Source organism: Homo sapiens, chromosome 3 (genome assembly GCF_000001405.40).
Source record: "Homo sapiens chromosome 3, GRCh38.p14 Primary Assembly".
NCBI lineage: Eukaryota > Metazoa > Chordata > Mammalia > Primates > Hominidae > Homo > Homo sapiens.
In genome coordinates, this window is record NC_000003.12 from 97,970,531 (window position 1) to 97,991,188 (window position 20,658).

The following is a 20,658-nucleotide window of genomic DNA, read 5'->3' on the forward strand; positions in this document are numbered from 1 at the left end:
ACAGCAAGAAGTAAAACACATATCTTAGAATCCAATACTATAGTAATTAAAGAAGACAATGCTTTGTCTAGAATAGTACAGCCAACACAACCTTGCCCATAAGCCTTAGAGACCACCCCAATAGGAGTAAATATTTCTGTAAAATCACAGAAAAGTTTTTGAAGAGCAATTGTTTTCCATTTGAGTTGACTATAAGCATTAAATGTAAAAAGACTAAAAGATTTACAGTTCATACTTTGGTGACTACCCCACAGATAAACCCTATAAGAAAATCAATGTTGACAACCATACTATAGGCAACAGACAGACAGTCACTATATTTTAAAGGTACCCTAACCTCCTTTTCTATAATATTTGAGGACATGAAGACGTGAGGAAGCTCTTGAAGGAAAGGATTTGTATATCCCCGGAAACAAGCACGGTGTGGTACATAGGAGGTCCTCAAGAAATGTCTGCTGAATTTTTCACATTTTCATCTTTTGTCTGTATACAATTTTGGAGACAAACCACAAAGGCCTTACACAAAACAGTTACGGAAAAAACAGATGGCCTGTGCAGAGGGGATTATTTTTCTGATTGCAGCTGTCACTTCAGGATTCAAGAGTATCGTAAAAGCTAAAAGGCACTTTAGACATCAGTAGTTATTACTAAATCGGGGAGGGAAGTATGAATTTCTACATCCCCTGGGCAGTTTTACAGAATGTAGTTCAGAGTTACCAGCAAGGTTGTTAGCATGCAAATTTCTGGGCCCTCATCAAGCCCACTGGATTGCCACTTCTGATGGCTGAGGCCCATAATCTGCATTAACGTAATACGCTCTCTAGATGAATTTTAGGTCCACTAATGGAGGACAACAGTCAAACGCAGCTCAGTTAAACACACGGCTGTCAGAAATTATATATTGCTTGTAACAAGGTTGCCCAGACTGATCTAAAACATTTCTTTTTGGCTCAGAGATATGTTAATCAATCCAGAGGGAAAACTGGTTCTCCTATTGACCTAAAGGAGTGATCAGCAGTTATCTTTTTAGTCTGATTTTAGAGAGGAAACGGACTATACCTCAATGTATTTTCGTGACCATGAGGTTACAAAGCTTGATGTCCAGGAGGCAAAAACCAGTACCAGCAGAAGAAGCTGAGTAAATCAGGTTCCTCTGCTCAAAGATGAGCCCAGTGACATGAAACCCGAGGCACCAGATTTACAGCTAATGAGTGGCGAAATCAGATCCTCTTCCTCCCAGTCTATCCTTCCTGAAAACAGTGAATAACCTGGTCTCAGTAACCTGTTGGACAACCCAGCTGTCGGCCAATCGTTGCGGAATTATTTGCTGGTAAATGAATTGGAAGCATATGATGTAATGCAGCTGCCCTTCTCCCCACACACCTGAACTTCAGATTTCACAGCTGTAGAGCGTGTCTCTTAGGCCCGACATGACGCCCGGCGGCGCAGCCCACGTGGAAGCCGTGCTCGCACAGGCAGTTCTGCCACCACCGGGCGGAGGCCGGCACCACCCTCCTTGCTAAGCCTCCAAACTTTCCGTGCGCTCGTCACCGGTGTCGCGACCATTAGCAGGCCACGTGTGCGACTCTCTGTAACCAAGGCTTCCGCGACCCTACCCCTAGATCCGGGCCCCACCCACCCTGCCCCAGTCTCCGGGGAGGTGGGACGCCTGGGAGCGCGTCCCAGGTCCCGCAACCACAGCGCCGGCCACCGAGGCTTCTCGCCGACCGACAGGTCTCCCAGACCCGCACCCGAGCCCGGGTGCCTAAAGCAGCAGCGCGCGCCCCGCGGGATCGGGCACTACCCGGCCTGCCCCGGCGCTGGGATGCCCACGAGAGCGCCCCACTCACCCGGCACGGCCTGTTGCTCGCGGCCGCGAGCCCACTGCGTTGCGGCGCAGCGGCTGGAGGCGGGGCAGCGTGGGCACGCTCCGGGCCGTGCTCCAGCCCCCGCCCCGCCCCGCCACGCCGGCCCGCAAGTGGTGGCAGCCCGGAGGCCTGGCTACCCGGCGGTGTTCCGCGTTCACGCCCGGGCGTTTCTTTAGTCCATATGGAAGGAAATAAATGGCCTTTTTTTTCCTCTTTTTTTTTTTTTTTTTTTTTTTTTTTTTTTTTTTATGGTATGTGAGACAAGGTCTCACTCTCGCCCAGGCTGGAGTGCAGTGGTAGCGATCTTGGCTCACTGCAACCTTTACCTCCCGGGCTCAAGCGATCCTCCTGCCTCGGCCTCCCAAAGTGCTGGATTATAGGTGTGAGCCACCCACCCGGCTCTCCTTTTTTTTCTTTTAACTTGGGGCGGCAGGAGAGGATTTGAGAGAGCGTTTTGGTGCAACTCCGTTCCTTTTATGAATAGAGAAGCAGGCCTGAAGAGGAATACCAGCGGTGCAAGTTTAGGGAGTTGGTGGTCCGGGTTCTCCCATGGCTTTCTTATGGGCTGTGTGGCTACACAATGCTGATTTGTACAAGCCGAGTGTCATTTATATCATCTCGCTCCGGGAGAGAGAGTCAATCCTAGTTTTAAAAGATACTGGAAATTCGTTGCGACTATGGCTATAGAAACAGAAGAAATGCAGTTATCTGAGTCCTTTCAGCCTAACACTCCCTGCTTTGGAACATTTGGTTCCAGTCAGGAGGCACAAATGAGGGAGCAGGGAAATCAGTGGCGGGCCTGTGCCTTTCTTTGCTCTGTAGACAGCCAGAGGACCCAGAGGAAGTCGACATTTCGTTCCGTCAAGGTGACTGAGACCAGTGGCTGCTTCTAAGGATCAAGTGGCACATGAACAAATGGGAACAAAGTACACCCTTGTCTAGTATTTGTCTAAAACTAACAATAATAGCAAGTCTTGAATTGAGTTCTTCCTGGCTATAAGGCACCACGCTAGGTGTTTCAAATACTCCTCACTTCATCCTCACTACAACCTTGCAATTACCTCCATTTTACAGTTGAGGAAACTGAGTCAGGAGAGGTTAACTAACTTGCACAAGATCACACAGCTAGGAAGATGCAGAAACAAGATTAGAGCCAAACCAGTCAGTCAACTGTTGGTCTTTTTCACGTTTTACTAATACTCGTATAACTAGTAAGTTTCCTGGCAGGTTCCAGTTGGAAAAACTCGAGGGTAACATCAAATTTAGCCCTTACAGGGTAAAAAAGAATAGTCAACAGCAAAAATCTCTAGTTGATATGATATTGGTAATGTACTTCGCTCTTTATTTTGACTGCAAGACATCTACTCAAGATAATATAGAATAATATTGCTGTTCCCGGGATTCAGATAAAGGTAAATTCTCACACGTCCACCACTTGGAAAAGCAGTACGGTTGTAGAAAAAAGTTATAATGTCAACACAAAATACCATTTTCTCAGCATATAAAATGGCCGCAGGATGTCTAACAGAACAAAAGTACATATGGAAGTCAGCTTTGCAGGGGGAAATCATACATCTTGTGTAGGAGTTCCTCTAATGCAAAATTAGTATATCAGTATGTTCTCTCTGATTTTTTTCATTATAATTCCGATTTCTTAGCATAGCAAGCAAAAAAGTCATGATAGTTCCATTTTCAGACCTAAACAGTGCCCATCATTCCTGTGAAGAAAAGGAGAAGGGGCCAGGTGCGGTAGCTCACGCCTATAATCCCAGGACTTTGGGAGGCTGACGCCGGTGGATCACCCGAGGTCAGGAGTTCAAGACCACCCTGGCCAACATGGTGAAACCCCCGTCTCTAACAAAAATACAAAAAAATTACTCAAGCATGGTGGTGCCTGCCTGTAATCCCAGCTACTCAGGAGGCTGAGGCAGGAGAATTGGTTGAACCAGGGAGGCGGGGTTGCAGTGAGCTGAGATTGCACCACTGCACTCCAGCTTGGGCAACAAGAGCAAAACTCTGTTTCGGAAAAGAAAAAGAAAAAGAGAAGGAAAGTTAGTTTGTGCTTGGGTGACAAGAGCGAAATTCCGTCTAAAGGAAGGAAAGAAGGAAGGGGCGGGGAGGGAGGGAGGAAGGGGGAGGGAGGGAAGGAGGTAGGGGAGGAAGTAAGGGTGTGGTGGGATGGTATGGGAGTGGAGAATGGCTTGCAACCTTGCCTGAGAGGAGGAAGAGGAGGTGAGGAAGTAAGGGTGGCATGGGATGGGAGTGGAGAATGGTCTGCAACCTTGCCTGGGAGGCTTCTAGAATATATGGCCTTCCTACATGTATTGTTTCTGGTATTTTTTTTTTTTTTGGAAAAGTTCTTCCAGAGGACAAGATGCAGACTGCTATCCAGTCCCCACCATAGGTTCATTTAAAAGTCAGTTATTTTGTTTCTGTAATTAATTTTCTCATGAAAACAATGTTGTAGATGGCAGCTCTCAAGATCTGTCCGGAAAAGTCTAGAAGCCTCCAGATTTCTAATCAACAGACTAGCGCTCCTCCTCTGTAACTGAGGAACAAGATGCCAAGGAGACAGGAGAAAGAAGAGAATTCCCTTCATGTCTCGGCCATAAACCCTGAAACAGACTTGTCCATGAGCCTTGTAAAATAAGTTACATTTCTGCAGAGGTGCTTGACGTTCACACCGTTTGGATTGCTTTATTAAAAGACTCTTTTTAGAGCCAAGTTTGTCTTCCTCTTCTGTGGTCTCCTAGGCTCTTCTTCCTGTAGAGCTTTTGGTTTTTAGCCACCTCATTGTGGCTGTGCACCTGTCCAGCCTGGGCATCAGGCTGCAAAAGTGCAACCCTGTCCTACTCCTACCTCCAGTCACAATGATGCTGGGTGCAAAAAAATCTAAAAATGGTGGTGTGTAAATGTACTTTTTATGGTTATTAGATCTAACTCTGGAGGGGCCAGGTATATGAATTTGGAAAACTCTCTTTGCTAACATTCACTTTCCTCATTTATAAAGTAAGATTGCACCAGATGTACTGTGATATCCCTATTGGCACTCAAATTCCATAGGCTTAAGGGTCTGTGCTCCAATTTTCAAAGGGCATTAGAAGAAGAATCAGTCTGATTGGAATTACCTTTCAGTCTATAAACATTGAAGAACTTATAAAATGATTAATATTTGTATTTTTGTTGTAAAGCTTTATTTTATAATGCTACTGTGTCATACGATTCCAGGAAACACACATTGCTTTAAACTATGTGAGTACTGCCCCCTATGTGTTTGTATTCACTTTGGTCCAGAAAATATCTAAACCATGTCTTTCTAGTATATGACTTTAATATTTATACCACTATATTGGGCTAACTTTTTAATATAAGGAAACAGACACATCAAGGTTAAGGAACTTGCTCAAAAATACATCATTTGATAGTCCATTTTTTTCATTTGGGCTGCTATAAGAAAATATCTAAGACTGGGTGGCTTATAAGCAACAAAAATGGACTTCTCACAGTTTTGGAGGCTTGTTCTCTGGTTCACAGAGGACACCTTCTAGCTGCATCCTCACGTGGTAGAAGTGGGAAGGCAATTCTGTGGGTCCTCTTTATAATCCCATTTATAAGGCTTTACCCGCGTGACATAATCTACTCCCAAAGGCCCCACCTTCCAATCACATTGGTGATTCTGTTTCAGTATATGAATCCAGGGTGGGGACAAACATTCAGACCATAGCACCCATACTGCCTATCAAGTAATATTCTTTGGACCTCTGTTTATGTTTCTCCAAAAGTGGTTAATTTCACCTAACTCGGAAAGATGCTGTGAGTTTCAGGTGAGGTGGAGTAAGCAAAAGAGTTTTAAAACTGTAAAATGCTATTGAGTGTGAGAGGCATTACTGTTAAATCCCATATGACATCTTGAACATGATTCCATGGAATGAATTAAATGCAGTTGGGCCTTTTATACATGCATACTTCACTTAATTTACACAATTCATCAAGCAGAGTACCTTCAAATTGATGTCATATCACCATGGGATAATCTTGGTGTCTTAGTACCTTCAGAAAAGTCAAATTTGTTTAACAATGACCCAGGCCGAGGTCTTTCAAGACTATAGTAGTTACGATACAGCTCATAGAACTCAACGTACTTAACTTGATAACAAGCATACCATCACCGTTTGGAATTATATTTTGCATATTTATAAAACTATGATTTAAACTCCTTGGGAGCAAGAAATGTGCTTCTTTAATTCTGAGAACTGCAACAGAGTTCTTCACAGAGTAGTTACTCTGTTTACAAAATTGAATTGGGTAAGCATTCCTATTTTCTTTTCTTGCTTAGAGTCCAATTTCTTTTACAGCCTGTGCCTATAGGAAAGTTGGTGTTAGGCTGCATGACTTTTCTTAAATGATTCTGCAGACCTCCTTTCTCCAGCAACCCAGCACTTGCAGGTGAAAATATGCCTCAGGATTTTCCAATGACTTTCCCTTACAGAGATGTTTTCTTACTTAACATGTTATCATAAATCTTGAAATTGACTTGCCCAATTCTTATAAAAATATGTACTCCTGCAGAGGTGCTTTCTGCTCATACTCTTTGGGTTGCTTTGTTAAAAGGTACACAAGCTCCTATTGAAAATGTTTCCTACAAGACTAACAGAATGTATATATGGGTCAGGAAGCCCCAATATTATGATGCAACATTAGTTTACTTATTTTCCTTTAAAATATCATAATGACCTAAAAATGACCAACTAAGGTGGTACTAGTCAGGTACTGATGGGTCTGTTAATGAAGTTTTTTAAAACTTTCAAAGAAGAGAAAAATATACCTCATATAAACTGGTTCTGAATATAGAAAAGGAAAATAACTGAAAAAGAAAATTACAGACAAATGTTATTTATAAACCTAGAGGCCCAACCTTTGGTGAAATAACCTCTGTGGGATTTTGACTTGAAATTTCAGTTGAATCCCCCAAACTGGAAACAATATTATTATTTTTTATTTGTTCAATACTTACCACTTTCCATTTTCCAGGCCCTTTTAAAAAACTGAGTACATAAACTTATTAATACACACAAAAATCTAAAAGGAAGATACTATAACTCTCCAAGTTTTACATGTGAGGAAACTGAGGAACCAGGAAACTAAGTTATTGGCCAAAGGTCCCAAAGATCCCACTGGGGTTGGAAAGTTCTTGTACCCCAGATATACGGCCCTGGGAATGTGGAGGCTGCTTCTCACCTGGAATATCCTGAAGAAGGAGTTGGCCGGTGACCTCATCATAGCACTCTGAGGCAAAAAGGCAGTGTGGAAGCAGCCTACTCTCACACAGATTGTCACATCAAGGACCACTGAGCATCTTCTGGGCTGAGTGGTTGCTGTGGAAAGTAGTTAGGCTTGGACAACCTGGAAGGTGACAAAGAGAGTGGCATAGTGGACCAGGAAGCAGTGGGGTCCATTGGCCCAGACAGGAAAAGAGACACAGGGTCTTAGGCAGTCTGTCAGAGATCTCAAGGTTAATTTCAATAAACCCAGTCTCACCTCCAGATCAACCTTCTCCTTGTCAACTAAAGAAAAAGCTAGACTTTCAAAGAATTAAATTAATTTCATTCAGAGTCTCACTGACAATTGCAACCAGGGAGAGCCTTTCAGAGTTCTGTTAGACTGTTCCAAAGCAGTGTTTCCACCCATAACTTATACATTAGGTGGTGGAGGTTCTGTGCATGTTCAGAAGTTACATCGAATGTACTCAGAAGTTACATTAGAGCAAAATCTCATCAAAGTTTGGGTGCAAGAGTACATCTGGTTACAAATCACAGAGGTATAATTATTAATCCTGTCAGATGTTATCTTATGGACAGGAAAAGGCAAAAGCTAGGATCATTGGACTTATCTTTTCTAAAAATGCAGTGATTTAGGCAAGAGATGTGGGAATCTGTGCTCGGTTCTGCTTCTCATCCTCAAGGCATTCTTCCGGAGGGCTGTGCTTGTCACTGAGTCAGGGGCTTCTGAAGGTAGGCTGACAGGCAGAATGAGCAACATTGCTTTTTCACAGCAAGGGCTATGTGGCTGGCCAGAAGCAGACATTTGTTACTTTATCTCACACCCTGCATCCCTTGAAAGCTTCAACATTTGAATAGCTGTCACCAGGGCCAGCTACATAATTTGTGGGACCTGTTGCAAAATGAAAATATAGAGCCCCTTTTCAAAAGAGTGCCATTAAAGGTATTAACATATAAAACCATTCCCTTCTTTTGTCTCTCTTTCTTTACTATCAGGGTGGTATCTTTTATTTGCTGCTAAGTGCCGTGCTCTACCCTGGTGCAGGAAGGTGAGTGCCGACATTCACAGGCACCCAGGGCCCTGCAGGGCCATTGGGTGCTGCTAAATTAAGAAAAAATATATATAAAATTGTAAAGGAAAGGAGACTTTATTTCCCATAAAGGATTATACCCTGCAAGGTGCCCATCCCTCAGGCTTCCTTTCTGGCCAAGACCAGGAAGAGGCACTTTGGAAGGAGTGGGGGTGGGGGTAGGACTTTAATGCTTAACCAGTTGGCTAAACCTACATGCCCAGCAGTTATGGGAAGAGCTATGAATATTCATGAAGGTGGTCCTGACACTTGCATATTGAACAAATATGCATGTATTTAATAACATATGACCCATGTTCACTTTGAGGTGGAAACTTTACATTCAAATATATTGCAATTAGGCTCTATATGTCAAGAGATGTTTTTGGGATGCAAAGCCAGGCAAGTACACAACCTCTGTAAACCAGCCAGAGCTAGTCTATTGTTGGTGGTTTTCTTATCAGGATAAAGTTACTGAAATCAGTCTCTTGTCCAATCAAAGCTGAAGTTATGGCTGGTAGAATAGGAGGTCAGTTATTTAGTGTCCAGTGCTAAGCTACAATTGTTTTAATATTGCTTATCTCAAGGCCAGTACTTGTTTAGCTGCTAGAGAAAAATAAAAACCTTGTGGCAGTTAGAACACAGTTTATTTTTCTTTAAGTGCAGGGGTGAGTGACTTAACCCTTGCGTGGAATGGCCTTAGGACCTGTTTATAATTTGATATCTTATTGCCACAGAGTCTGCTCTGTCAGTCTTAAAATCTCTATTTTGCCATACTTTCAGGTCAGTTGTGTCGAAACCATAAAAGGGAGGGGCATAGAATGAGGCTTTTCTGACCCCCTGTTCCATCATGGACATGAACTCAATTTTAAGGACTTTCTGGGGTCCCTTTTTCCACAGGGAGTTCTTTCAGTCAGGAAGGGGCTTAGCATTTTATTTTTAGTTTAGTGCCCACGTGTGTGCAGGAGCACATGGCCACAGGCTGCTGCGATCTCCCTCCTGCTAGCCACTGGCTCAACACTGCTGTGCCTGGCCAGGGATGGGGACATCAATCTCCCCAACCCTCAGCAGATGGGTGAACACCAACAGATGGCACCCTCCCAGCCAGGACATGCTAATTACTTGGATAGGGAGTGAGCAAGGGGCTTGCTCCAGCCTGGTTGCTCTCCAAACACACTGTAGTGCTGACAGCCCAGGGCGGAGTTGGCTGCCACCATGACCAGCTCCAAATGCTATGGAAAGTGCACCTCATCCCAGCCTTCTCTGCATCTGTGTCTAGGCCTCTACCTGGGGCAGCAAGCAGCAGGCCACTGGGCCTGGCAGGAGAGGGGATTGGGAAAGAGAGATCCAGAAACATCCCACAGGGCGGGACAGTGGCAGAACTGCATGTGCCACACACAGGTACATGCAGTTTCCTCCCTTCTTCCTTCAGACTTCATTCAAAAAACTAATTCAAAGATTAGATTATTATGAATTTCAAGATGGTGTCTCCAAAGCATTAAACCCCAAGGGTGAGGCTCCTGGTGAACTGCTTACTCAGCCATGCCTGCCACCCAGAGAATGGCAACAAACCAAGAGAGCTAAAGTACATATCATCAAGTAAAGAGACTTCTGCCAGTCCTTTCCCTAATCCTCTCCATCCATTCCCTACTCCAAACTCGGTGGAATGAAGGATGGGGGAGAGGTATGTATTAAAGAGCAGATTCTACCTTATTCCTTATTCCTACAACAGTTTCCTCAGTCCAGGGTTGAGGCCTGAATTAGTTGGGGGGTGGGGGTAGGGAAAACACATTAAAATCAGACAAGGCTTTATAAATAACTCATGATATCCCAAAAGCTGTGAGATCAGCCTGAGATGTCAGCAAGAGGCAGAGAAAGAATAGCCAGTAGAGCATGTTTGACAGCAATTGGTGAAAAATAAAGCCATTTTCTGTCTGTACCTACTACAAGTTCAGGTTATTTCGATAAAACATGGTTCAGCAATATACTAAATGTATAGCCTACATTAACAAATTAGAACTCACCAGGAACTCCACCAGTACAAGCCATTACATAGAAGGCATAAATGATAATATCATGATAGAATCAAGTAATTCAAATAACTTGAGTAATTTGAAATGGGCTGATTAGTTTTGTCAAGATGGTATGTTGTATTGATAACCAACATGCAATTTGGTGACCAACATGCAATTAATTGCTTTTATTGCAGAGAGGCACATTATCTTTCATACAAATAAGCAATAATCATCTGATTAATATAGACCAGGATAGTATTCCAAATAATCAAATACAGTTTATTCTATTTTCAAATTCAAATCTGCCCTGAAGATATACGCTATGGGACTTTAAGGACATCATTTTGCAGAGCAACCACATTTTAAACTTCTGTCCTTGTCTTTCTTTTGCCTTATTTTTCTTACCTACTTCTAATTCACATTATCTTGAGAAATCATATTCAGTTATTAAAGTTCCTTTTCACAAAACATTCTCATTCTCTTCTGTCTACCTGAACTGCATATTTATTTACAAGTAATTTAGCTGGTCCCAAGGCTACCTTCCCATTGATTCATGATTTAATTTAGATATGACCTTACCCAAGATACAACCTAATTTGAAATATATATATATATTTTTTTTGGGCAGTGTGATTGCTCCAAAAATTTATTTGATGTGTGGGTTTGTGTTTATAACACTTCTTTGAAGTGCAAAATACTTGAAAAACCTGCCTTAATGTTCTCTGATGAAGTAAAAAAAGTTATGTAAGTGTAAGTACTTTCTTCCTTACTTAGGATCCCTTGTTGAGTTAGCTAGTTTTGGAAATATTGGAACATATATGTCACTTTTAAAGGACACTGGCTTGTACCTCAAACTTCAGAAAGTCTTATTTCACAATACAAAATGTGTTTCAAAAGACTTGCTAATGACATTATAATTTCACCTATTTTTGATTGTCTAAGGTAAGGAGTGGTCAGCTAGCACCACAATTTTGTAGAAAACCTTTGAAACACTCTTGCAGAAAATAAGTTTCTATAATCAACTGTACTGATCCTAGAACTGAGAGTAACAGCAAATCCTTCAAATAATCTAACCAATAATAAAATGTAGCTCGGTCTTTCCTACAACAAACTAAATATCAATATATTAAAAAGAAAACTGTTATAATTTTTTCTCAGTGACTTTGTGAAATCTCTTTTCTACACTTGGCCCCATCATTGACCAAAAATAGCGTTATGATTCAGCAGGGGATTGAAAGGAAGGAACAACTGACAATGTTGTTTTGACAATGCTGAACTTCATCTGATCCTGTGTGTTCCTGGAAAGTATCAAAGGTCTGGAAATCCCCGCCACATTTTGTATTCTGAGAAATGACCACTCCACTCTCACATATTCCAAGATCAGACCCACCTCTATCCTTCCCCAGTGAATGTGACTCGCTTGCATACCTGACTCTTTGAAGCCCTTGACCTCCTTCCTTTTCTTTGAGATGTTTATCATTAATAAATGCCCTTTCTATTGCAATAAACTGAAAAAAAATCATCTTCTTAAATGTCCAGTGCATTTGTTTTTCATGGTTTCTTTAAAAGAGAAAAAAATTATGTTTAAGTTATTTGTTAAATCCAGGAAAGAAAAAATTTGCAGTTGGAAAAGCAAGACACTATAGTGTGATAGAGTGTTTTAAAGCAGTGTTTACAGAGAAAGACTAGGTGGCTCCATTCCATAAATGAGGTAGTTGGAATATAACATTGACTGCTATGCCTAAGGCCTTGCCAAGAAATAACAGCAGCACCAGTACAGAATTGATGTTGAAATAGCAGTTTTCATGTCACTTCTTTCTCTTGCTTCTTTGAGGGTGTTGTTTATTCTCATTGAAATGTTGATCATAATAATGGTTACAGAAATAGATATAAATAGACGTAATTCTTTCTCTCATTCATCTCCATGTTAAAAAAATTGTATGTACAGGGAGGTGTGTGTGTGTGTGTGTGTGTGTGTGTGTGTGTGTGTGTGATTTGAACAGGCTTATAAGTGGCACAGTAAGGAACAATAGACCTTACTCATGAAGATTAACTCACCTGCAAGGATTTAGACAATGTAGTCACAGGCTAGTTATGATTTTGTAGCAACTCATATGCAAATATTTGCAATCTCAGTTACTCTCTTACTTAGAAAGATGGCAAAGGCTTGTAGCGGTGATAGCAGTCATGGAAAGAAGCAGGTTTTCAATACATAGGACTGCTTTAATGTAAGTATTTTAGACAATGCAGAAACTTCCATTATGAAAAGGGAATGCCAGCAGATATATATAAGAAGGCTCTGCTTCATGGGGAAAAATGAACTAAAAATTTAAAAGGTTCTTCAGTTACAGTAATCTACACCTCAGAGCTTCTAGGCAGACCCATGAGTGAGTCTGACACGGCAGGTTCTAGTTGCAAACAGGGATTCTTCTGAAGGAAATAAGTGCAGAAATTTGAATATGGCTAGACATTTCATTTGTATCAAAAATAATTTTACTTCTAAGTGTTCTTTACATTGTTAGTTGCAACCCATTTGTAACAGCATACAATAGGAAATGACAATAATGTCCTGCAGGACGAGATGGGTGAAGTAAACTATGGTGCACCCATTCAGTGAACAGCTCTGCAGCATATGGAAATCAGTTTTCAGGAACAGAGAAGAAAATCTGGCTACAAATAGACACTTTCCCCAACACAATGTAAGTTCAATAAGGGTAGGAGCCATGTCCATCTTTTGTTACTGTATCCCCAGCAGACAGTCCTTGATATAAGTGCTTAGATTAATAAACACAAGTGTTTACAAAAGTGTTCCATTTGAAAAAATGTAAATTATGAACAGAAAACCTCTAAGAATGTACATTAAAATGTGAACTGTTTAATTCTGGGTAGATGATTTTTTTTGCCAGTGGATATTTAAAATTTTTTAAATAATGAAGCTTTATTTTCTAACCAGAACAGAAACAATAAAACTAAGTTAAAGTATATTATTTCATGGGTTTTCCAAAGTAGTTCCTATAAAATAGCCCATTTCTATATTTAGGCCGTTTACAGAGCGAGCTGGCTTCTTCTTAATCATAGAAAGCAGCTTATTTTCTGAAATCCTTGCATTTTATCCAGGCTTATCCCTCAGTGAACAATCATGCACAATCTGTTCAGGATTGTGATGAATAAATGAAGTGAAAATCAAAATGAGGTAACTCTTATATGCTGTCTTCACTCTCATAATTTTCAGGTAAACTGTGATTTGATTCTTCTTGGAGTAAGAACCAAACAGAAATCTTGTTGCTCCCGAGGAGAAATGAAGCTAATGGAAACAGTCCTCTCTTCACAGACTTCACAAGCCACCAATCTCAAGAGAAGAAAACTGGCAAAACTCCTAGGAGCTCATTCCAAATACTCTAATAATTCCCTTAAGCAGTAAACATATTTTCTTTTTCAGTGTTAGATGTACATTATTGAAGAATACAATGCCTGTATTGCTAGCCATTAACAAAAGTTACATTTGATTGGCTAACAAATGTGCATTTATGCTCCTCCAGAGGAATGCCAAGTGTGGGGGTGTGATAGAGACCCATTCTCCTAGACTAGATTGCCAAATGTATTCAGTGATGCATTTGATTCAAAACAGGGAAATGAATATGCCCAGGGGAAGCATTCGACATATTGAATGTTATACTTCAAAGTATATGAAAAAAACAGAAAAGCCTGAAGAAGCTGAGTATTGGTTGAAGAGAACAGTGTAGATTTATTCTGTTCATTTGTATATTTGTCCCTTTTTAAACATCTGGTTTTGTCAAAATCAGAAATGTAATACAATTGCAGTGCTAGGCTAAATAATAGCTATAAATTCCTGGCCATCTAGAATATTAATCTGTGCTATATTTTGAAAATATAATCCTACCAAAATACTACTATTAAATCAAGCTTAAAACCCATTAAATAAATAGTTTTTTTGAAGTTTATTTATGGTCTATCTACAATGAAATGGAGAAGGGTTTTAATACATTATATTAGCTCAATTTTGGAGAGTATCATATACAAATATAATCCTTGGGAAGTTTCAAAAGAATTGGAAAAGTTGTATTAAGAAAATAGAATGAAGTATCCCAGAGTTAGCCTACCTGTGAGGGAATTCATAATAGAAAAATAATTTTCCTTTTGATATTTTGTACCCAGGAGGAAGATACTTTTCTAGAACCCTCTGTGATTCAGAACGGAGGATCAAAACCAATGTTATTGGTTTAAAAAGCAGAAAATTTTTGTCTCTTCACCTGGTGAAAAAGTAATTCAAATCATTTTGATTTACTTTATGGTGAAATAAAAGGAATTACACTGAAAGTAATACACCATTTAATTTATTTCTCTTAATTCAATCCCAGCAATCAAAATAGGTATCGGAATATTTCATATTTCCTGCCAAGGGCTTTTCTTTAAATTGAATCTTGTTCAGAAAATACTCAAAACAAAAGCATGCACACTGCCAATCTGCAAAATGAACACTGATCATAGGAGGTTTTCCTACTTAACAAAAATTTATTTAATACCCACTTGACCTGGTTTACTTGGTTCGACCAAAGATATTAAGGATTACTATGGGATAAATACATTTCATTCAGTTTTTTCACTCAATACAATATCTGGAAGCATCTCCAGTTGTTTATAAATTGAGAGTCCACATCCCTTTGGAGATGTTCTTTTCCTTTCTTTGGTATCCCCCTTTCAGAATTCACACCAGACAGTGTACATACCTCTGTTTTAACATTCGTCACATGTTTTATAGCTCCAGTTCACTGCTCCTGTTGGCTATGCACTTAGAGAAGGCAGGAACGCTATTTCATATTCATTTTTTCAGTACATAACACTTAGTGAAGTGCCTGGCACACGTAGGTGGTCAATAAACATTTGTTGAACAAAGTGATTAATTAAAAACCTCTAAAAAGCTGTGAAAACAATACATGATCTACAAAATGCGAGATGTTATTATTGATGACTGATGTATTAATTTAACATTAGAATGAGAAGAATAAGTGGAAGTTTAGCTTCCCCTCTCCACTTATGCTCACAAATACATGAAACAATATTTTATATATATATATATTTTTTTTTATTTTATTTATTTTTTGAGATGATGTCTCGCTCTGTCGCCCAGGCTAGAGTGCAGTGGCTCAATCTCAGCTCACTGCAACCTCTGCCTCCCATGTTAAAGTGATTCTCCTGCCTCAGCCTCCCAAGTAGCACAGACTACAGGCGTGTGCCACCATGCCCGCTAATTTTTGTACGTTTAGTAGAGACGGGGTTTCACCATGTTGGCCAGGCTGGTCTTGAACTCCTGACCTCAAATGATCTGCACACCTCGGCCTCCCAAAGTGCTGGGATAACAAGCATGAGCCACGGCACCTGGCCTGAAACAATATTTAAATAAGAATAAATACTTGACTGGAGAAGGAGATTGGAGATCCTTCATAGGATTCTCAGCTGTGTGAGTGTGGATGATACCACCTCTATGTGGATGTTCTTGCCTAGGACGGTTGAGCTCTGGTAGATAACCAGGCACTTGGCTGGCACTAAGAAACAAAATATCTTTGAATTATTGTTATAGTCCAGCTTTCTTCCCTAGTTAAATAAAGAACATTTCATTAAGAAAGAAGGAGGGTTCAGATGAAGTAGTTATAAAGCCCTTCCCAATGGAAAACTGTTTTTCCCATAATACACATGCCTATGACTCTTATTTATGGAGTCAAACTTTTCTAGGACCTAAACTCTTTCTTAGATGTAAATCAGACAGCTTTCAAATTTTCATTAGGGCAGGAGAGGTGACTTGCTCTTTCCCAGTTCCATCTAGGACTATCCAACTCATATTCAAGAGTTTTGTTTTTAAACATCATCTGGCTTTAAAGTTGTATACATTTGAAATTCCCCTTCATACATATACACCCCAGTAAAACAAATTAAATAAAATATACACAATGGGGAATAAAATCCTAGAATAGGTGTCAATGACATGGTTGTTTTCCAGAATGATTCTACCAACATGTCCTCCTAGGGATTTTCTTCTCTTTATCCGAGATGAATCGGTGCTGGGGCTGCATATCGATTTTCTTCTCATGAAGTCTTCTGAGTTTAGAGAGAGGGAAGTCTGGTCCATGTCAATCTCGCTGTCATGGTAACAACCATCAAAGGCCATAGCTTGAACTGCATCAATATTGTACATCCTAGAAATCTGTCAAAAAACTTTTTTTTAAAGTAGGTCTTGAATATGGTTTTACAAATAGGAATTATGGTAAATAATGTTAATAAAGTTAAATATGATTTATCAGAACAGCAAGATAGGCCAATTGGATTTGTTTTTCAACTTATTTTTTTCTTTATAGAAAATATAGCAGTATCCTCCGTATATATGTATTTTTTGGTCCAAAACTAAAACCATGTCATCGGTGATCCATTTATGCTTAAACTGGGGATGGGATAGGGAAAGACTTTAGCTGCTCCATTGAAATGCAAATTAGCCAGGCCTTCCCATTTTTGCTTCAGAGCACCTATAAATGATCCTAACATGGCCCAATTAAACAACATAAAACTGGTTTATTTTTCTGAAGGAGCAAATTATCAATGCTTTCTGGCTCCAGTGCCTGATTGAATCAAAACTAAAATTTTCTTGAAGGTTTTACTCTGAGGAAGATAGTGGTTCTCACTAGTTTAGAGCAGTGTCTACAAAGCAGCTGTTAGTAATTGCTCTTGGAGAAAACAAAATCACTTCTTGATTCATAGGAAAATTCAAAAATGAACAAATAGAGAGAGGCTACTATCGGATGAAATTATTCAGAATTCAAATTGGAGGCTGCAGAATAAATGCTGCCAAAACATGTCTTCGATTTATAGTGATTTAAAAACCTAATATTTTACTGAATTCAAAAGACATGAAGACTATTTTGTGCAGTCAGTGAACTAATCAAGGGCCCATAATTGAGTTATGTTGTCCCTTTTTATTTTTTTAACTTTTAAATTAAAATTTATCATTATTTTTTATTTATTGAGACAGGTTCTCACTCTATCATCTAGGCTGGAGGGCAGTGGTGTGATTATAGCTCACTGCAGCCTTGACCTCCTGGGCTCAAATGATCATTCCCACCTCCGCCTCCTGAGTAGCTGGGACTATAGACACACATCACTACACTAGGCTAATTTTTTTTTTCACTCATTCTCTTTTATTTAACTTTAAGCAGGGCTTGATCAGAAAGAAGAGCTCAGAGGAGTGAGGCAACACCAACACCAGGGCATACGATTCATCCATGGCTCCCCCGACACCAGTTCCAGCCCGGATGGGGCTTGAAGTAGCTTCAAGTGCCCTGCCATGCTGGGACAATGGAAAGTATGAAAGCCAAACCTTGGGACCCGAAGAGTAATATGTCTGTGAAGGTACCATCACTGTCGGGCACCCCCTACAGAAGGACGCATAATAGATACATCCCCAGAGACAGTATTTTATTTTATTTTTAGTAGAGACGAGGTCCTGTTATGTTGCTGAAGCTGGTCTTGAACTCCTGAGCTTAGGCAATCCTTCTGCCTTGGCCTCCGAAAGTGCTGGGATTACAGGCATGAGCTACCGCACCCAGCCAAGAAAGAAAATAGCTATTTTTCCTCTTTCCAAGCAATGGTCAACACCAGGGATACATTTTCTATAGACCTGCTGTTCTTCCAGTTCTGAGTGTCTCGGGGAGAGAGGTGGTTGGAATATGTACATGAACATGATGGTACTGGGTGGTAGTGGTGTGTGGTGGTGGATAGTAATAATGTGAGATGGATGGTGGTGGTAGGTGATGGAGGTGGTGAATTGTGGTGGTGGGTGGTGGGTGGTGGTGGTGGTGAATGGTGGTGGTGGGTGATAGATGGTGGGTGGTGTTGGGTGGTGGTGGTTATGGTGGAGAGTGGTGGTGATATGTGGTGGTGGGACTGTTGGTGAATGGTGGTGGTAGGTATTGGTGTCTGGTGGTGATGGTAGATGGTGCTCATGATGGTGGCGTTTGGTAGTGGTGGATGGTGGTCATGGTGGGTGGCGGTAAGTGGTGGTGGTGGATGGTGACAGTTGATGGTGAGTGGTGGGTGGTAGGTGGTGAATGGTGGTAGTGGTGGATAGTGGTGGTGGGTGGTGAGTAGGGTAGAGGTAGTGAGTGGGGATGGTGGTGGTGGTAGGTGGTGGTGGGGGTGGTAGTTGGCAGTGGTCATGGTTGGTGGTGTTGGTAGATGGTGCATGGTGGTGCGGGTATATGGTAGTGGTGGTGGGTGGTGAGTGGTGGTGATGGTGGTGGATGGTGTTGGTGATGTTATTGGTGGATGGTGGGTGACGGTGGTAGATGGTGGTGTTGGATAATGGTGGTGGGTGATAGTAGGATGTAGTGGTGGTTGATGGTGGTGGGTGGTGGTTAGTAATGTTAGTGGATGGTGGTGGTGTTGGTGGATGGTGGTGGTGGATGGTGGTGAACAGTGGTTGATGATGGTGTTGGGTGGTGGGGATGGTGGTGGTGGATGTGGGGATGGTGTGGTGGTAGGTGGTAAGTGGTGGTTGGTAGTAAGTGGTGGTCAGTGGGTGAGTGGGTGGTGTGTGGTGGTGTTTGATGGTGGTTAGGGGTAGATAGTGGTAGTGGGTGGTAAGTGATGGGTGGTTAGTGGTGAGTAGTGGTGGTGGGTGGTGGGTGGTGGTGGTGGTGGATGGTGGTAGAGGGTGGATGGTGCTGGGTGGTGGATGATGGTGGGTGGTGGATGGTAGTAGTAATGGTGGTAGGGGGGTGATGAAAACAAGTTTTGCCTGATTTGTTTTCATAGAGAGGAACTCCATAGCGAGGCCTAACATTCCAGCCCTTTCTCATCATCCTTTGGCCACTCTACTGTAGCAGTCTGGGAGAAGAAACTGGCACGTTTAGCTCTGTCCCTTTTGAGTCCTCCATTTGGTGTCCGCATTGGTGTCCAGGTCTTTTCTCTGAAATGAAGTAAAGAGATACTGTCCTTCCAGGGATAGGCCTGAACATTCTTGTTTTGCCAGTGACCAAGACAGTGAGTACATTTAAGCTAGTGATGAAATATTAGTGAGCCCTCCTGCTCACAGACCTAAGCAACATTCTCCAAACTGCTTTACCAATAACAAAGGTGACATTGTTATATCCATATATCTGGCTCCCACAACTGGCTCTCTCTCTAATACTGGCTTCCAACTCCATATATATATACAGGTGTCATCTATTAGCCCCCAAACCCACAGACATTTCTTCTATCCGGCCTCTCCCATTGCATCCTATTTCTTCCAAGGCATCTCATCCTATTGGATTTGTTCCCACTCTTCCTAGTAATACTCCTATTCCCTCAGGGCAGGTGTTCTGGGCACTACTCACAATAAGAACTTCCATTTGTATAGCACTTTATATTTGCAAAGTTTTTACGCCCTTTTACTATATCACTTGATCATCATAACAGCCCTGTGAAGTACATGGGGAAGAAATGACACCACTGTGGAAACACAGAAGGGGTTTAGGAGACTTAACCTGGAACACGAAGCTGGGATGTGGTGGATTTGGTTTGCCATCAAGACTTCTTCTTTTTTTTTTTTTAGACGGAGTCTTATTCTGTCGTCCAGGCTGGAGAGCAGTGGCAGTGGTGCAATCACAGCTCACTGCAACCTCGGCCTCCCAGGTCCAAGCAATTCTCCTGCTTGAGCCTCCTGAGTAGCTGGGATTACAGGTTCCCACCACACGCCCGGCTAATTTTTGTATTTTTAGTAGACACGGGGTTTCATATGTTGGACAGGCTGGTCTGGAATTCCTGACCTCAAGAAATCCGCCTGCCTTGGCCTCCCAAAGTGCTGGGATTACAGGCATGAACCACTGTGCCTGGCCTACCATCACTTCTGACTTCAATCATTTCTTCATTTTGTCCCACAAAGATATGAATGGCAAATAGGACATTCCCTTGAGATAGTTGCATTTATTTGAGATAATTGAGGATGCTTAGAATGGTGGTTTCCAGGGCCTGGGGGGAGGGGAATATGGGAAGTTGCTGTTTGATGGGTACAGAGTTTCAGTTTTGCAAGATGAAAGAGCTCTGGAGATTGGTTGCACCACAATGTGAATATACTTAACACTACTGAACTGCACACTTAAAAACAATTCAGATTGTAAAATCTAAGTTATAGTAATTTTACAATTAAAAAGTGAAAAATAGTTTTTAAAATGGAGGATGCTTATTACCTGAAAAGAAGTTCTGCATAGTGGTACACAAAAAGATTGTGTATAATATCAACAACTATAAAACAATCAGGCAGAGTGAACACACGTTGTGTGGCAGGTGGGGGCAGGGAGTTGTAGACATTTTTGAGTCAAAGGACTAGATGGAGGTGAGCCAAAAGTACTTCAGTGCCTATTTCTTGTGTTAGCCACTC

General features: G+C 41.3%; 2 protein-coding genes and 1 long non-coding RNA gene across 10 annotated transcripts in view, besides 2 other annotated features; 1 reads left to right on the forward strand and 2 right to left on the reverse strand.

Annotated features, from left to right (window-relative positions):
* Window positions 1-1,901, reverse strand: part of RIOX2 (ribosomal oxygenase 2) — a 30,614-nt gene extending 28,713 nt beyond the window's left edge. For 3 of the 8 annotated variants that reach the window (NM_001261829.2, NM_153182.4, XM_047449086.1), the window contains exon 1: window positions 1,851-1,901. The gene's annotated coding sequence lies outside the window, so the exon portion shown is untranslated. Of the gene's footprint in view, window positions 1-1,059 lie in introns of all 8 variants that reach the window. The other 5 variants (NM_032778.6, NM_001042533.3, XM_047449087.1 and 2 more) reach the window with 2 other exon arrangements.
* Window positions 1,116-1,375: an enhancer, noted in NCBI's record as "active region_20128". NCBI's record gives its function as "activates an Ori minimal core promoter by ATAC-STARR-seq in GM12878 lymphoblastoid cells {active_cell/tissue: GM12878}" and the evidence as "EXISTENCE:reporter gene assay evidence [ECO:0000049][PMID:35858748]".
* Window positions 1,646-2,085: a silencer, noted in NCBI's record as "silent region_14553". NCBI's record gives its function as "represses an Ori minimal core promoter by ATAC-STARR-seq in GM12878 lymphoblastoid cells {active_cell/tissue: GM12878}" and the evidence as "EXISTENCE:reporter gene assay evidence [ECO:0000049][PMID:35858748]".
* LOC124909398 (uncharacterized) lies at window positions 2,123-4,592 on the forward strand. Its single transcript, XR_007095976.1, has 2 exons — window positions 2,123-3,280; window positions 4,336-4,592. It is a non-coding gene; the product is annotated as an uncharacterized LOC124909398 (long non-coding RNA).
* Window positions 4,593-14,571: 9,979 nt separating this feature from the next.
* The window catches only part of GABRR3 (gamma-aminobutyric acid type A receptor subunit rho3), a 50,214-nt gene continuing 44,127 nt past the window's right edge, over window positions 14,572-20,658 (reverse strand). Inside the window, exon 10 of the mRNA NM_001105580.3 lies at window positions 14,572-16,452. Coding sequence (NP_001099050.1) covers window positions 16,153-16,452 — 300 coding nt within the window. The 3' untranslated portion in view covers window positions 14,572-16,152. The remainder of the gene's footprint in view (window positions 16,453-20,658) is intronic.